The sequence below is a fragment of the Homo sapiens genome, chromosome 8, assembly GCF_000001405.40.
Source record: "Homo sapiens chromosome 8, GRCh38.p14 Primary Assembly".
Taxonomy (NCBI): domain Eukaryota; kingdom Metazoa; phylum Chordata; class Mammalia; order Primates; family Hominidae; genus Homo; species Homo sapiens.
Window position 1 is genome coordinate 117,713,153 of NC_000008.11, and position 19,239 is coordinate 117,732,391.

General features: G+C 39.6%; 1 long non-coding RNA gene across 7 annotated transcripts in view; it reads right to left on the reverse strand.

The window, feature by feature from the left end:
• Positions 1 to 18,987, reverse strand: part of LOC105375721 (uncharacterized) — a 121,243-nt gene extending 102,256 nt beyond the window's left edge. For 6 of the 7 annotated variants that reach the window (XR_007061069.1, XR_001746050.1, XR_001746049.1 and 3 more), the window contains exon 1: positions 347 to 927. This is a non-coding gene — a long non-coding RNA (uncharacterized LOC105375721). Of the gene's footprint in view, positions 1 to 346 lie in introns of all 7 variants that reach the window. The other variant, XR_007061071.1, reaches the window with a different exon arrangement.
• Positions 18,988 to 19,239: the final 252 nt, after the last annotated feature.

Sequence of the window (19,239 nt, forward strand, 5' to 3'; positions counted from 1 at the left end):
GCAACTTAAGTCTTGAAGCCAAGTTTTTCTAAGGGACCCCAGGTGTGCAATTTGCAAGCAAATGACAATCTACATGACTATTGATTGCTTTGACCAGCTAATTATGAGTCTGTAATTTCCTGGGCCCTAGGATTTCTCTCCTATTTCCTATATTGGAACTCCCCTTGGATCTCATTTGTTTGCCCCAAATGATCCCTAGAGAGGAACTTCTCCTCTCATCAGCCTTCCCCACGTCCTTCTCCATCCTGCTGGCCTCTCAATAACTGTGTCACCAGATTTCAAAGGGACTTTCAGCTTATTGCATAATCAGTTCTTCCTCTGAGACATCCCCCACCCCCATCATTACCTCAGGGTGTTGGAACTTTGCTGTAAGCTGCTCACAGATCATTAAAGATCCCAGCTGTTCCTGGTCCATAACAACCCCTTTCAACTGGGTCTCCTTCCAGGAACAGCTGCAAAAGCTCCAGAAAGGAAGGGAGGAGACACATTTAGCATGATAACAAATCAGTAGGGAGTGGCCAGTTTACCCAGAAAGGCTGTGATGCAGTTATATCCACCCAGCAACTCTCCCCACCCTCTAGGAGAGAGACAAATTCGTGCTGCCTCTGTGTGAAAACTCTTCATATCTAAAGGAATGAAATCAAGAATCACAACCCACCCCTGCTCCCTGGAGAGGAACCTGGACAAGGTTCTTGCTTTTTCCATCATCATTCACAAAAAGGCCTGTCAGTGGTTACAAGAAGATTATTATCTTGCATATACATACATATAACATATACTCACACCAAATTAACAACATGGAAGAAGGAGCTGTCATCTATCTCATGCAGGGCACTGTGCAAAGAGTTCAACATATGTTTGCAGGCTGGGCGTGGTGGCTCATACCTGTAATCCCAGCACTTTGTGAGGCCGAGGCTGGTGGATCACCTGAGGTCAAGGGTTCAAGACCAGCCTGGCCAACATGGCGAAACCATCTCTACAAAAAAATACAAAAATAGTAGCTGGGTGTGGTGGCACATGCCTGTAGTCCCAGCTACTCGGAAGACTGAGGCAGGAGGATCGCTTGAACTCCTGGGAGGCGGAGGTTGCAGTGAGTCAAGATCGCATCACTGCACTCCAGCCTGGACAACAGAGCGAGACTCTGTCTCAAAAACAAACAAACAAAAAAACCAGATATGTTTGCTTGTGAATCCTTCTTTAAAAACAAATCACTTATTGATAAGGAAATCAAGGCACAAGGAGATTGAATAACTTGCCCAAGTTTGCACAACTCAGAAGTAGTGGAGCTGGGATTTGAACTCAAGTCGATCTGACTCAAGCCTATGCTGTCAACTCTAATCCCATTCCAATATAAGACCCATTCAATTACCTAATTGGTACAGAGTCTGGGATTTAGTGGGCACCATTAAAGTTTCATTTAATGAATTTATTTTAATGAAGGCAAATTCGTGCCACCATTCTTCCGAAATGCACTTTACCCCAATCACTTTATCTACCTGGAAAACATTGAATGATTGTGCAAGATATATCTTAATTTTCATGTACAGTATACAAAGACTTTACAAGAAGCCCCTTTCCCTTGTTCAGTGGACAGTCTTAGTCATTCCCTCCACATTGTCTCTATTATTGCCTATGTGGCACAATTCTGTATGTATCAAAGACTTTAGTTGTCTGCCTACCCCATGAGAGCTAAGCAACATTGCCTTGAACTTTCTCCTTTCATGGCTTCAGGAAATGCTCCCTCAATATTTCTGCTAATTCCCAAGGGTTTTACATCTCCTCCTCTGTTCTATCTCTCAAGCTCCAGCTTCCTCTATTATTGCTTTTGTCTATCACTACACCACTTGGGAATAAAATTTAACACCTTTAATTTCTATTATACATCAATGTCAGTTTTTCATGCGCCTCGTAATTTGGAAGGGAGGGCAGCAAAAGGAGTCAAGTAGTCTAGCACTCCACTTTCTACCATCTTGTTTGCTCCTACCCTTACCCCTCTCTGCACTCCTCTTATAAGCAATATAATTCCTCAATTTCTTCACACAATGTATACAGAGCAATTTCCCCCCAAATTCTGGTACCAACTAACATCCAGGCCTTGGAAGGAAGGAACAGCAAGAGATGAGAGTAGAGTATAGGAAAAGGGGTGGGGACTCAAATCATACCAAAATCCCTCATGTATTTAATAATTATTTCTTGAGTATCCCCTATCTGTGAGCTAATTAGGACACAGAGATGAAGAAAAACAAGATGTCTATTGTTATGAAGGTTACATCCTAGTAGAAGGAACACAAAGCAAATGAATAAACACAGTCCTTTCCAACTGTGATGATGTGAAAGTAACCTGTGAGGTGGATGGTGACTAATTAAGGTAGAGTGGCCAGGCATGGCCTGACCTTAGAGGTGATATTTGAACTGAGAGTTGGAGAGGTGAAAAATCAGCCATGCCATGAACTTGAGACAAGGGTTATAAACTGAAAGAACTATAAGGGCAAAAACTCTGAGGCAGCAACAAGCTTTTGTGTGTTCTGGAAAAAAAAAAGTGAGAAAGTAGCCGTAAAATATGAAGACAGAGACAGATAGTGGCAGAACACATAAAAGGTTTTTTTCTTCACTCCAGCGGAAATCTATGGGATATTTTTGACATATGAGTGACCCGATCTAATCACCAAAACATTTTTTTTCAAACAAAATAAACACTTCTTCCTATTTATGCATGTATTTTCCTTACCAGACTATGAGTTCCTTGAAACAGACAGGCATTGGACAAGTTACCTCATATAAAATGATGAAATGACATAGACATAGCTTTATGTTTTGCATTCTTCTCATTTCATGTTTTACAAATGAAAAATGCTTGAACAAATGAATAAATTATTATTAAAAATACATGCTTAACATGCATTTCAATATTTAAATGTATATATAAAGCAAAGTTGACAGAAATAAAAGGAGAAGTAAACAAATCTGCAGTCATCATCTAAGGGTTAAAGAAAAGTCATGAGAAAAATTAAAAATTATTTAAACTGAATGGCAATGAGAATACTATATGTCAAAACTTGCGATATAAAGCAAAAACAATGCATATATTAGAAAAAAAGATTTAAAATTAATGTTCTAAACTTTCATTTTTAAGACACTAAGAAGTAAAATTAAATCTAAAGTAAGTAGAAAAAAGGAAATAATAATAAAAGTAGGTATCAGTGAGCTAGAAAACAGAAAAGCAATTAAAAAATCAACAAAGGCAAAAAAACACATGTTTTAAAAATATTAACAACTTGTTAAACCCCAAACAACACTGATGAAGAAAAAAAAGATAGAAGACATAATATCAAGGGAAAAAAAGCAGAGCCATTTTTGCAATTTCTATAGAAATTGTAAGGATAATGCAATAAATATATCCTACAAAATGCTCTTAGCCAGAACATGTAAATATGTAAAGAATTACTACAAATTAATAAAAAGAAAAACAAATAATCCAATTTTTTTCAAAAGTAAAAACATTAAAAGGTAATTCACATAAGAGAATACACAAATGTAAATTAACAAATAAATGTATTAGTCGTCAAGAAAATGCAAAGTAATGGCAAAAACTGCAATTACTTTTGCACCAACCTAATACTACCACACCTACATAAGGATAACTAAAATTTTAAAAACTAACAAAATTAAGTTTGGGTGAAGATAAAGAACAACCAGAATCTGCGGACACTGCTAGAGGAACCACAAATTAATACCCTTTTAACACTGTTTATTAGTATCTATTAAAGCAAACATATATGTCTCTATAACTCGTCAGTTCCAATCCTGTGTATACACCCCTCCAAAAGGTGTGCTTATTTCACAGCAGCTCTGTCATCATATCCCCTAACTAGAAATACCAAGAGCAGGATGGATGAATCTCACGGAGAGTATTAGACAAAAGAAACTAGACACAATCAGCTTCATGCTGTATGAATCCATGTCTATGAAATTCAAAATCACAAAACTAAACCATAGTGCTAGAGATGTCCTTCCAGGTGGTGTGTGTTGGTAGTAAGAGTCATGAACAAGCCTTCTGGGGCACTGGAAATGTTCTATGTCTTGATCTGCATGATAATCCCATAAGTGTGCATAGATGTAAGAGTTTATTGAATCCTATGCCTAAGATCTGTTTACTTCACTGTTTGTGAATTAGGCCTCAGTTAAAAGGTACAAAACAAAAGTTATGTATTATTTAAACATTCCTTAAACAAACAAAAACAAGTTATTCATTAAAGCAATAGTCACGCTGCATGCAGTGGCTCATGCCTTTAATCCCAACACTTTGGGAGGCCAAGGAGGGCAGATCGCTTGAGCCCAGGAGTTCAAGACCAGCCTGAGCAACATGGTGAAATCCCATCTCTACAAAACACGCAAAAATTAGCCAGGTGTGGTAGCATGCATCTGTAGTCCCAGCTACTTGGGAGACCAAGGCAGAAGAACTGCTTGAGCCATGGAGGTCGAGGCTGCACTGAGCCATGATCATGCCACTGCTCTCCAGCCTGGGCCACAGAGTGAGACCCTGTCTCAAAAAAAAAAAAAAAGTCATGTAATAATAATATAGCTGATTTCTCCCCACTGGCAACATGCTCCCCCAGCATAAAACTATGACCAACTCATAATTAGACTTTTACTTCTTGGAGCCTACTAGATGTTCAATATATAATTGTTGAGTTTACAGAATTATAGTAATGGAAGGGCATAAGTTTATCTGTTTCCCCTTTTAGAGAGCTCTCTCTAACTCATCTGATGGTGCAGTCCAGATGGTATATCTCTAGGAATTCATTGTTTCCACTATGTTGGGCCAATAAATTATGCCAGCTACCACATGGAGATGTTCAAGCTTCTGAAAGTACCAACCTCACATGAGCTTAGAAGCTGGCAGACACCTGGGAATGCTGAGATGTAACAGAATGTCCAATAATGTGAAGTGACGTCAGTGAATGCTTGGGAAGGTGCAAAACATAAATAGAATTCAAAACAGTAAGACAATAGTGTAGCAAAAGTGAGGTGACTTTAAGAACTTCAAAATGAGGTTAGTCTCTGAAGATAAAACTGCTAAAATCTATCCCTGAAATATGAGCCATTTATCAATGTTGACCAATCAGTTGTTAGAGTTTGGGGAAATGCTCAAATTTTAATCAAAATACTTAGGGAATAGCCTCGAGGAAGCACAGATGATACTAGTCTACCTAAAACTGCATACACACAGCATCAGCTTGGCACATTAACATGAGCTAACTTATCAGAGAAAAACAAATTGATTTTTGGTAATTTGGCCAGAGCTGACACTTCATCAACTGCATTGACTCTCGTTGGAAGGAAAGGATGTGCAAGCATGGCGGGGATGATGGGCATGCCCGGGGATGACGGGCAGGCCATCCTAAAGGGAAACAGTGTATCAGCATTTACCAGCCCTGTCTTGACTTTGGATCAGGAAGCAGAAGTATTCTGGTTAATAGAAAAAGTTGACTGTTGAGGGATAAGTGGAGTTTTCTGTATCATTCTTGCCTAGCTACAATCACTTTGGGTTAGAACTACCTCCCTTTGCTCTGATCCCTTTACTCAGAAATGTCCTGGGAAATGTAGAGAGGCCTTGTTTAATTTCCCATGGGAAGCCACATATGAGGAACGAATATGACCCTGAGCACCAAGGTCTGGCTGCTCATCATGGTTATTAAGTAACATTTGTTAGTTATTCTGAGCAGTCACTTACTGAGCTATATTACTCAGGATAGGCCGAAAGTGCTGTTTCAAAAACCCTGAATCTCAGTGGTTTAACCCAATAAAAGTTTAGTGTTTTCCCTCACTTACGGTCATGCATGAGTCTTGGGTGGGAATGGATGAGGAAGCCCTAATCCACACATTCAACGAGGAACCTAGGCCTCTCTTATCCTTGACACCATCGTCCCCCAGGTCCTCAGAGATCTCTTATTTCAATTGATAGATTAATAAAGAGAGAAAGAATTGCACATAGAAGGTTTGCTGGGCCAGTTTGAATGGACATAAAATGCGTATTCACATTCCAATGGTGGGAAGTGATTCACATGGTCGCATCTGACTGCAAGAGAAATTGAGAAATACTTTCTGAGTACTCAGAAAAGAGAGCATAGAAATTGTCATGCCCTAATAATCTCTGCCTGTTGTACTAAATGTTTTATATTAATTATATTATGTAATCCTTATCACATTCCTTAAACGGTGGTAGAATCAGAGTACTGTAATCTTACAGGAGAGGAAACAGAAGTATAGCTGGGATAAGTAACTCGCTGAAGAACAGGGAACTAATTGTATTTGAGCCAAAGCAAGGTTAGAACACATCTCTGGAGTTCCTGCTTTTAACCACTAAGATAAACTATATTTATTGTGGCAAATTAATATTAAAATATTAGCCTTCAGATTTATAAGTTTCAGGGCATTTACAAGACAGTGAGTTTGAACTGGAAGACTAGATTCTAGAATACGGTGACCCTCCAAGGCACTTCCTCCTCTGAGGCCATGATGAATGTCCAGCCAAGCCTGCAGTACATCCTGTCTGGACAAACTAAAACAAATAAGGATATGAGTTAAGAGTAAATGAGGACTTATCACCAAGCCAAGCTGAATTCTTCAAATCTTACATGAGTTGAACTTTTTAAATCCCTACCACAACTCAATGAAATAGGTACTATTATGAAGATATTGCAACACAGAGAGATTAAGAAACTTGCCCAGGACCACACACTCAGAAAGGCCCGGAGCCAGAGTTAGATCCAAGGCAACTTCAGTTCTAGAATACGTTCTCTGGGCCACTATGTTAAAGAAAAGTTCAACAAGGATGACATTAACTCTGTTGGTATACTGTTTTCATCCACGGTGATTCCCATAATCACCCACATAGAATGAAAACTTGATGTAACTCATGTATCATCTCCTCTTCCAAGGAGGACAGGGCACTTCTTCACACAAAAAGGTACACGGGAAGTATTTATGAAACTAAAATTATTTAAGTTGTATTAAATTGAAGGTTGTAACATGGTGCCCTTTTTCCTTTCATCTATATCCATCTATATCCATAAAATTAAAGATAGCTAAGTATTTTATATAAATTATCTCATTTAATCCTCATAAAACTCACCAAGGATATAATTTTACTTCCATTTAACAGGTCATAACACCAGGTTTTATCATAAAGAAACAAAGTCTGATAATATCTGACTTATATGTGAGAACAAACTTCCTAACACTTTTATAATGATTTCTGAACATCTCTCTAAATGATGAGAAATATCCTACTCTGGCATTCCAAGAATATAGGCGGTTGAAAATTCAGGACTTTGCTTTCACAATTCTATCTTTTTTACTTCCAGGGAAGTCATTTCCGTGAAGCACTGGTGTGAACAACAGTCACAAGTGGGAAGAGCAATGGAACAAGGAGGAGGAGGAATGAAATGGTCCTATAATTTTAGAAAGAGTGTGAAAAAAAGAAGTTAGACTTCTAGGTTCTATTTCTGGCTCTGCTTCTGTTTTCAAGCCAGCCAGCCATCTTTCTACCTTTTTCTCCATTAATTGCCAAAGGTGGAGAAGAATATAGACTGAGTATGAAGCACCTTGTCATGCTTGGATGAAAGATCCTGTATTATGACGAGCGCAAAACCAGAATTGATCATGTTGTGAAATCCACACTGTGTTGTAATATATTGGTTTCAAGCTTTTCAGGAATACTTTTGCTCTGAATTCATAAGGTTAGAGAAGGCAAAATTGCATTTTAAGATGGGAATGCCAAAGATGGATGTAGCCCATTGAAAACAGGCAATGGCTTTGAGCAAAGCTAGCCCCACAATAACTTGTAATGGTAGTGAAGTTTGTGATCCATCATATGATCTTTTCTTCCTGCCTTTTTTCTTCCTCATTAAATAACCCATTTCCCTAAGTACCAGTTTGTATATATTATCTTTATTATTATTTGTATATGTGTAAGGAGCACAAATGCAATTTTATTACATGGATATATTGTGTAGTGGTGAAGTCTTAGTTTTTAGTATATCCATCACCCAAATAATGTACATTGTAACCCATTAAGTAATTTTTTATCATCCACCCTCTACTCACCCCCCAACCCTTCTGAGTCTCCAATGTCTATCATTCCACACTCTATGTCCATTTGTACACATTATATAGCTCCCACTTATAAGTAAGACTATGTGGTACTTGTCTTTCTGTTTCTCAATTGTTTTACTTAAGATAATGGCCTCCAGTTCCCTCCATGTTTCTGCAAAAGACATGATTTCATTTTCTATGTCCAAATAGTATTCTATTGTGTATATATACCACATCCAATCATCCACTGATGGACACTTAGATTGATTCCATATCTTTGCTATTGTGAATAGTGCTGTAGTAAACGTATGACAACTGTAGGTATCTTTTTGACATAATGATTTCTCTTCATTTGGATATACACCTAGTAGTGAGATTGCAGGATAGAATGGTAATTCTATTTTTGGTTATTTGAGAAATCTCCATACTGTTTCCATAGAGGTTGTGCTAATTTACATTGCCAACAACAGTGTGTAAGTGTTCCCTTTTCTCCTCATCCTCCCCAACGTCTGTTATTCTTTGTCTTTTCAATAATAACCATTCTGACTGCTGTAAGATGATATCCCATTGTGGTTTTAATTTGCATTTATCTGATGATTAGTGATGTTGAGCATTTTTTCATATGCTTGTTGGCCATTTGTATGTCTTCTTTTAAAAAGTGTCTATTCATATTCTTTCCCACTTTTTAATGGGATTATTTGGGAATTTTTTGTTGAGTTGCTTGAGTTCTTTGTAAATTCTGGACATGGACCCCTATCAGATGCATAGTTTGGAAATATCTTTGCCCATTCTCTAGGTTATCCATTCACTCTGAGGATTATTTCTTTTGCTGTCCAGAAGCTTTTTAGTTCAATTAAGTCCCATTTGTCTATATTTGATTTTGTGGCATTTGCTTTTGAGGTCTTTGTCACTGAATTCTTTGCCTAGACTAATGTCCAGAAGAATTTTCTCTAGGTTTTCTCCTAGTATTTTTATAGTTTCAGGTCTTACGATTAAGTTTTTAATCTATCTTGAGTTGATTCTTGTATATGGTGAGTGACAGGTTATCCCTCTCAAGAATACTGCGTATTCGAGGAAAAAGAATTCCAAGAAAGAAACTGTGTGGACAGCATTGTGGCCCATTAACTATCCTTCCAGTTTGATATTCACATAAATATCCTCCTGTTGAGGGAGGATGGTAAAGGAGAAGTAGCGCTGAAGAATTCTGAGGTCCTTTTCAATATTGTGAAGTATTCTTTATCAATGAAGGACAGTTGTTGTTGCATTTAACTGATTAGGGCTTTCCCAATACCCATCCTAAATTACTAGCAATAGCCATTCTAAATTACTAGCAATAGCCATCCTAAATTGCATAGGTTGTGGTAGTTTTCATCCTGAGCACTGAAATTTCATGAGACATACTGCAAGTTTTTATGGAGAAGAGTGTGATCGTGGTGACATGCTTAGTGTGGGCGTGGGTCCATATGGTCTTGATCCAGCGATGTAGTTTTGACTATAGGCCATTTATTTGTCACAGAGTTCTAAGAATATCAGGTATCTCTTGAACTCCTCCTTCCTCCAACTTAAACAACTGGTCCAGGGCCATGTCAATACTGATGTCAATGTCAAGCGTAAATTACTTGTGATCTGTAAACAAATCTTTACAATGCCAAAGCAGTGTCCTTCAGAAGTAGGAAGGTATCTCTTTTTCAAAATCTCTGTCATATATTGTCCCATATTTTTCCCAAACAGGACTTTCTCCTCAGGTCTCACTGGTAGAAATGGGTTCTTCAACCTCTACCAGACCCCTTTCCATCAGACATCAGTATGAATTTGTTGGTTTGTGTTCAGATACTCTGATGTTCTCCTCATGTTCTTCAACCCTCTTCCCTCTCACAAAAGGAGGCACATCATTCTCTTCTTAGAAGAAGTCCTCTTAATCTGATGTAAAGCACCTCAGATAAATAGAAGGCTAAAGGCTATTGTCTCTACCACTTCATAGATAAGCCCAGGCATCCTGAATCTCTTTTACACTCACCTGAGACCTCCCTCCTTCATCCTATTCACAAAAGTACAGATGACAGGCTCATACGGCTCAGCATCACAATGTCTTCCCAATCCTGTTTCATTAATTTCTAAAGAATTACACTAAAATAACAATCTTCAAAAAGTGCCTATGTCTAAGAACCTCTTTTAAAGTAACTTAATGTTTCTTTCTCTCATGCAACAGGTCTCTACTTTTAAAACTTATGTATGTGGCCGGGTGCAGTGGCTCATGCCTGTAATCCCAGCACTTTGGGAGGCCGAGGCAGGTGAATCGCGAGGTCAGGAGTTCGAGACCAGCCTGGCCAATATGATGAAACCCCGTCTTTACTAAAAATACAAAAATTAGCCAGGCGTGGTGGCAGCGCCTGTAATCCCAGCTACTTGGGAAGCTGAGGCAGGAGAATCGCTTGAAACCAGAAGGTGGAGGTTGCAGTGATGAGCTGAGATCACGCTACTGCACTCCAGCCTGGGCAACGAGAGCAAAACTCCATCTCAGAAAAGCAAAAAACAAAACAAAACAAAACAAAGTATGTATGTGACTCTCTTAACAACTAAACCTCCTCTATTAGGAATCTTACTACTGTGTTACTTCATCTCAAATCTTTTAATAGTCTCCTGGTGACTTTGAGAAGTATCATGAAGAAAACCTCTCCATTTTCACTCCACTTTGAAACTGGTCATGTCTTGGGAACTGACTCATTCTACTAACCATATAGCAAAGAGAAAAAACATAGTTCTTAGTTTAAAACATGAGCAGTTGTGTCACACATCTTTGTGTTTTGGTAAATTCATCATTAGAGAGAGAAAAAAACATCAGTGGAGTTTAAACCCTTTGTCTTGTTAAGTCACAAAAAATTCGTGGGCTAAATAAACCATGCAGTGTCAAGTTCATGCTGTTTCTATAATCTCATTATTTCTGGTTCCTCAATAAAAGCAGGGTACCAGTTATTCTAATTTCAAAGTGCCTCCCTACACTCTCACACAGAAAACCTTGGTTAAGAAATAAAAAGCATGCTGTCATTCAGGCACACATGAGGAGGTTAGTCATTTTGGTTCATTATTTCTAAATAACACAACAAGCCCCTGAAATTTTTGTAGTCTTCAAATGGTCCTGCAAATCGATGTCGACCTTGCATGTTAGAATCATGATTGCCTGTTGTGTCTCTTTGATTATTTAGGGGAAAAAAAAGGTATTGAAATATATACTAATGGATTATTTAGGGAATTAGAGTGTAATGAACATGGGTTAACTTTAGTGCTTCAGAGCAGTATGAGAGCTACACGGTTACCAGCAAAGGATGGGAGCCTCCTGAAAGCTGGAATGCTGCAAATATATCTCATCACCTTCAAATCCTGACCACTCTTTTTTTCACATGTATTAATTTAACAAATATTATTGAGTATTTAAAGTGTGCCATATTCTGCCTACATCTAATGGCAACAACAATAAAAAATCGTGATCCTTCCTCCAAAGCTCAAAAGCTACTAGAGACACTGATCTATAAAGGGATCATAATACTCAAATAATATAAAGGATATAAAGAATGAGGATAGAAAGTGCAATGGGAAGTCACCATATTAATAGATTAAAGAAAAAATTCTTAGCATCCTCTTCATAGGTGGTAAGAAGTCATGTGATGGCATTCAATCTCCTGGCCACAAAAGAGAAACCTTATTTCTCCTCACGAAATACAAGAAAACAAGCAGAGGAGCTTGTTTTCTTCCAGTAAGGTGGGCATATAACAATGCATGCTTATCCCCTTGTTCAATCAGCTACTGGTTTACTCTCTTCCCAGGACAGAGGGAGTAGCAAAGCTAATTGGTTAATTGTCATTCACTGAGCCTTGTCAAGGTAACCTCTTGCTTCTTTAGACATTTGGGCTCCAAGGCAGAAATGGTTCTTCTTTCTTCTCTGCTTCTTGTTTCAGCATGGGAAACTTTTCCGAAGAAGACCTTCCCTAATCCCATGGGTTAAAATTGTCTGCTCAATGACATATAGTTCTATGAGCTATATCACAGAGGGTGTTTCAGGTCTTTTGAATTTGATCTTAAAAGCAATAGGAAATCATTGAAGAATATTAAGCAGGGAAGAGACATGATCAGTTCTGTGTTTTCAAAAGTTCACCATAGCTGCCACATACTGAATGGTTTGCTAAGAGAGCAGTTCAGAGGCCTCTGCTGGGCCTTTTACAGGAGCGATGGATGGAGAAACAAGGATAGATTCAGGATACAGTTTGGAGTTAGAACACACAGCTCTAAGTAATTGAAGAGTTGCAGAGGACAAGGGAAAGGAAACTGACAAGGATAATTTCCGAGTTTCTGTCTTGAGCAACTGCATGTATGGAGGTGTCCTTTTTTTGAGATGGGAAATTCTGCAGAAAGAGCGCATTCAGGAACCTGGAGGAGGATCAGGAACTCCCTTCTAGACAAGTTGAGATTTAGGAGATATATACAGAAGCTGCTAGCAGTCCAGTTGGATATTCGAGTCTATAGCACGCACACACACACACACACACACACAAACACACTCTCTCTCTCTCTCTGTCTCTCACGAGATGACTGAGATGAAAATATAAATTTCAAATTTGTCAACATACATAGATGATATTTAAAGCCCTGAGTGTGAGGTGATCCCCTAGGGAGAAGAAAAAAATGAAAGGGGAAAAGAAAGAGATTAAGAGAATGAGACATGGTTATGGCTATAATTAGCTACTGTTAACTGTCACTGGGAAGGACTTGTCTTTGAGTACACAAAGAATAATGGGCAGACTTACTTTCCATTAAGATGATAGGATGAAGGTGTCAGGAATGTTTTCTATGATTTTTTCCAGGCCACCCCAGTAGTTGGCATCTCCTCCCCTCTCCCAATCCCAAATTTCATCCTCAAAGGTACAACACTATGGGATATAAGAAGCCTTGTTAAGTGATAGTAGAGGAATACTCTTTTTGATGTGTGTTATTTACTTCTAGGTATTAAGTTTTCTCCCCCAAGAGTGCCATCCGCGAATTTGTAGTGTTTGTATTCTCACTAGCTCTGTTAGCCCTGTTAACCAAGTGAAATCTCCATGTGAGAAGCCAGAGGGTAGCTATCAAATCCTACCATTCAGACACTTTATGGAAATGAACTGAGTAGATTACAAAAGGAAGAGCCAAATGCCAAATACCATCCTCCCCACATCAGTCCCTAGGTTGACATTTAGGCAACAGCCTCTGAGTCTATGAGGTTTTCTGAGATTGTTCAGAAATCTAGCCAAGGTTACTAAAAACTTCAATTCAAGAGCCAGTGGGTCTTTGCCACTTACTTAGTGCTTCATGAATATGCACTTCAGCATGTACCCCTTCCTGTTCTTTTTTTTCTCTTTCCTTTTCTCTGTGATTTTTATACATGATGCCCAGCTCACTATGGGTCCAGCACAAGGAAAAGAGGTATCAAGTGTGAGAAGAATATGTGACAGCTGGTGCCATAGAGCCCCCATCAAGGGGGAAAAAAAAAAAAAAACAGAATAAGACCAATTTCAGTTTTTCCTACAGTGCTTGGAAAATATTAGCTCACTTGTAAGCCAAATTTGGGTGTACTCATAGAAAGCATTTCAAGGCACAGAATTGTTATTTAGCTAAATGTGCCAAGTCAATTCACTCAAGGTTACAGTATAACCATCCATTTCTTCTTTACTCTTTCCTTTTATGTTTAATGACCCCTCTCAAAACGGGAGATGGTAGAAAAATACACCCAACTTTTTGCTGTTCATGGTGCTAACACTCAGGGAATCTACTATGACAGTCGTCCTCAAATTTTAATAGGTGTAAGAATCACCTGGAGCATTTGTTAAGATAGTTTTATGCACCCCTTCTGATTCAGCAGGTCAGATGAACTTGCATTTCTAACATGTCTGCAGGTGATGCTGATGCTGCTGGCCCTACAACCATATTTTGAGAACCAATTTGTACTTGATCTCCCAGAGGTCCCAGTGGAAATGAGCCCCAGTTGCTCACGTAGTAACCTACTCAGTAACTCACTCTTTCTTCACTTCTTTCCCTTCCCCGCGTGATGTTCCTATTCCTCTAACCAGTGTTTTCTGGGATCATCTCCCTAATAAACTATTTTCACTCAAATCTCAGGCTCAGTGGCCATTTCTGAAATTAATTCAAACCAAGATAAAGACAGAGCCACAGGGCAAATAAGCAAAAAGGAAAGCAATGGGAAACGTCTCAGCAGGAGGCTGCCCACGCTGCTGTGCAGAGCACTGCTGCAGCCTCAGGGCTCCTGGAAGTTTCAGCGGTATGCTCTCTGCAAGCCTCACTCCAGACTCAGTCTCAGGCCAGAGCATTAGGTGGACTAAGCCTTGGACTAATGCTGCTTTTTTGGCTGCCTAAATGCCCAAGTTCAAAATATCGATATAATCTTGGATTTCTCACTCTCCATTTCCCTTTATCATCCAATTGATCATCACATGTTGCCACTTCAGCCTCTTTACTTCAAAGATGTTTCCTCATCCACATCCTCTATGTCCAGTTCAGGCCCTCCCTCATCCTTTTTCCCTTGGCAAACAAGAGTCAAGTGACTGATGTCTCTGTCCTTAGTCTGGTCTCTTTCTTTTTTGAGACAGATTCTCTCTCGCTCTGTCGCCCAGGCTGGAGTGCAGTGATGTGATCTTCACTAATTGCAACCTCTGCCTCCTGGGTTCAAGTGGTTCTCCTGTCTTGGCCTTCTGAGTAGCTGGGAATACAGGCGTGTGCCATCACTCCCAGCTAATTCTTGTATTTTTAGTAGAGACGGGATTTCACCGCGTTGGCCAGGCTGGTCTCAAACTCCTTACCTCAGGTGATCAGCCCACCTTGGCCTCCCAAAGTGCTGAGATTACAGGCATAAGCCACTGTTCCCGGCCCCCTCTTCTTTACATCCTTAATACTGATGCTAGTATAAACTTTCTAGAATGAAAATATGACCAGTCCCTGAAAACCTTCTGGTGGTTCCTTGGATAAAGGCCAAGATCAAAGAAGGCCATCTATAACCAAATCCCTGCTTAGTTCTCCAGTCTAATCTCTCATTTCTTCCAAGCATACACTGTACACTTAAGTCACATCAATTTACTTTCATGATCCTATACAGATGCTCTCTTTCACCTCCATGCTTCTGCTGACATGCCTGGAACTCACTTATTCAACAAATATTATACTGAACTCCAAATCTATGCCAGATACTGTTCTAGATGGTAGTTATATAGCTGGGAACAAACATGATAAAAATTCTGCCCTCAGGGAGCCTCCCTTCTCACATGGTGAGACAGACAATATACGAAATCAATAAGAAGAATGTCAGATAGTGACATGTGCCAAGGAGAAAGAAGATACAGTGCGATAGAACAAGAAGTTCAATTTTAAATGGGATGTGAAGGGAGCCCTCAATTAAAAAGAATACATTTGAGCAAAATCCTCCTGGAGAGAGGCAGTGAGTCTTGCAGATATCTGAGACAGGTTGTTTCAGCAGAGGGAACAGCAAGGCTGAAAACCCATCCTTGTTCTCCTTTTCCTGCCTGGATTCCCTTATCTAATTCATCCTCCAGGTTGGATCTCTCCTGCTACCTGGAGCCTTGCCTAACTCCCATTGTCCATTCTCAACTAAACATCCCACCTCTGTGCTCTGAGAACATCTGGCCATGTGCTTATTACAGCATTTAAAATATTGATGATAATAAATTGCAGTTAACATGTGTAACGTACTTACTGAAGGCCAGGTATTGTGTGGTTCACTTGGATGACCTGCTTTCAATACTCATGTCACTGTAAGAAGTTGTGTATTTATATTATCTCATTTTATTATCTCATCCCTGTCTGCTTTACAACAAGGAAGAAATTGACACACAGAGAAGTTAAGTAACTTGTTTAACATCACCAAGAATTCTAGACTGGGCTTTTGGATAACAGGGACAATGTAGCTCCCATATGTGTGCCCTTCACAATGGTCTAGCTCTCAAAAAGGATCACTAGCTCAATGCTTCAAAAAGACCTTAACATATTCATTTAGTAAAATGGAACTTCTCTCTGTATCTTACCAAATCATGATCACATGAATCTATACATGTTTGATGAGTATGTTTGTGATGTATAACTTAAAAGTGAAATTTATTTGGTGAGACTCTGGGGTCACCTCACAAAGAAAGACTGGCATCTTTCAGAGAAGCTGGTATGGAAATGAATGCAAAGCTGTTTGGCTGCAAATTGGGAGAGACCTGCTCTATGAATTAAGACTCCATAGACTGAGGGAAACAGTAATGGTTTCAATGAAAAGCTCCAAATGGAAAATCAGATGTTCAGAATCACAGATGTTGATGTATCATCAAGCCGCTTCTCACATGAGCACCTCCACATTGCTCTCCAGGTGAGTGGCAAGTCTCCGGGTGAGTAACTCCAGGGAGTTATTTATATAATTATGGTCAACAATTCTCCCAAGCAACTCCATGTGGGCTTGCAAGTGTCTAATATTTGTGAAGTTCTGCCAGCTAATCTTACCATTTCTCAGCTCCAGAATTGTACTACCTGTCTTTCTAGCCTAGTGTTTCCTAAGTGGCAATGATTTTGCCCTTTGGGGGATATTCAGCAATATCTGGAGATGTTTTTGGTTGTCACAACTGGTGGGGTCAGGTGCTACTGGCATCTAGTGGGTAGAGGCCAGGGATGCTGTTAAACATCTTACACTGTACAAGACAGTCTCCCGCAACTGAGTTATCCAGTCCAAAATGTCAACAGTGCCACAGACCTGTCTTGTTGCCTTTTATAATCCAAAGTAGCTCCCTTTGGTTCTCACCCAATGATGTGTCAAGAGTATAAGCACTGTCCTTGCTGTTGTTTACTGGGGAGAATTATTGTTGCATTACATACATTTCCTGAAGTTGAATTGGGATGAATCATTGGAGCAAAAATGATTCTCAGGTTGCTGCTTCAGCCTGGCATGCTCTTCATACCCTGTCCTTGGGGTGAACACTAATTCCCCTTGAAACTCAGAAGTGCCACTTCCAATATGAAGACTTCTCTAACACCCCACAGGGAGAAATAATCACCTTTTCCTTTGCACCCCAACCATATCCCGTACATAATTCCAGCAAAGAAACCATAATACTTCATTGTCATTATTGTTACAAGCCTGTCTCCTTTACCACATCCCCATTAGCCCTTCACTGGAGCTCAGAGACCATGTCTTACTATTTTTCATTTCCCATGCCCGTAGCACAGCACCTGGCCCTTAATAGACATTTAATGCACGTATTTGAAATGAATGCATTTTCAGGGAGAAATCTGGTTCTCGCAGTTGTTCTACATTCAGCTACTCTAATTTTTACCATAAATGTGACTTTCTTCTCCAGTTTCCAAATAGAATAAAAGCCAAGCAAACTACGTGGCCCATCCCTTTGCCCTCAGCCTCATGGCCCATATTACTAATGTTCAAGTTCAGAAGACATTTATCCAAAGCCCCAAAACAGCAATATGAAAGTCCTAGTGATGGTGGGAAAGGATGATAAAAATAGGCTGCTTAAAAATCAAGCACTTTTGCACAGAAAAAAAAGGAGAGGCAAACAGCCACTGGCACCTTCCTGTGAGTAACAGAAGTTTCTATTTTAAAAGAAAGGCAGTCAAATAACAAGCAACTTTATCACAATGCTGCTTTCCCAGATTTTTTGGCCAAGGCAACACATCAGCCTGGATCAGACTCTTGGCATTCCATGATGGACCCCGCTCCAATGATGATTCATAGCAGCCATGTGAGGAATGGAGACTTTCACACGAACTCGCCTCTTAAAAAAAAAAAAAAAAAAAAAAGCCAGCTATTGCTGATATCTCCAGATATCAGCCAGTAAATGCAGCTCTGTCAAGCCTGCATGTGGCACTCAACTTTCCTCGGTAAATGACAAGGTAAGTGATGAGGTGGCCAAAGGCCTGGCCTCTCAGTGGTTCCCCATCATTTTACTCTCAGGTAGCCAGGATGTTTCCTCTCTTGGTTCAGTGTTCAAGTATCCCAGAAGTTTCATGAACACAGTGGAAAAACAAATCTAATCCTTGTTTTCTTTCTTCACTCTTAAACTTTCTTTGGTTTTGAGTAATCTGTGTAGCTTTTGGATGGCTTTCACATTAGGAATTTAAAAAAAAAAAAAAGTTCCCCTTACATCATTTTGACTTCCAGGTATTAAATAGTTGAGATGTCTAAGTTTGTTTGTGTTTTCATTAAGTTAACGTTTCTATCACCGTCTGCTCCTGATAGGCTTCAAGAAAACAATGCTGACCATTTAAGAATAAAACAGCACAGTTCATTGGAAGGAAACAGAAGGGATGAATGCTCCTCGTAGCCTAAACCGAGTTGATTATCATTCTTGGGCACAATGTTGGCTTCAAGTTTTCCTGAAGCTAAGCCAGAAAAAAGAACAGATTGCAAGTGTGTGCATGTCAACACTGAGGAATTCGGATATTGAAAAGCGGGGAGGCAGGCCCCCACATCTCTTTCCTGAGAAAGGCTCAGGAGCAGGGGGAGCAGCCTCCTGTCCCTCCTAAGAGTGGGCGGTCCTGCCCTACACAAAGTCTGGCGAGAGGAGGAAGTCACTCTGGGACTTTCCCAATGATAATGGCAACATGTCGCTGGACTTCTGTCTAAATGACGTGCTCAAGGGCACAGATCCAAAAGAGAAGGTCTAGAACCCAAAATGAGAGCCTACTAGGCAGGACAAGCAGGGTGCTTTTTAGGTCTGTGATGCCTGACTTTTAAAAAGCAGTCCCACCATGGAATTTCTAAAATTCAGTTGATTCTTTCAAAATAGCGAAGCCAGGTTGGTCTCAAACTCCTGACCTCAAACCCTGTCTCTACTAAAAATACAAACAGTTAGCCGGGCATGGTGATGGGCACCATTGCACTGAGTGACAAGAGTGAAACTCTGTCTCAATAAATAAATAAATTAATTAATTTAATTAAATAGCAAAGCCCTAACAACCCAGTTGCTATTATAAGTATCTGCCACTTATTAAGCATTTTTCAGTCAATCCTCACAATAACACAATAAAAAAAGTAAGGACACTTATTAAGAGCTTCCAGGTAGCAAGCACGGTTCCATGCTCTTTATGTACTTACATACT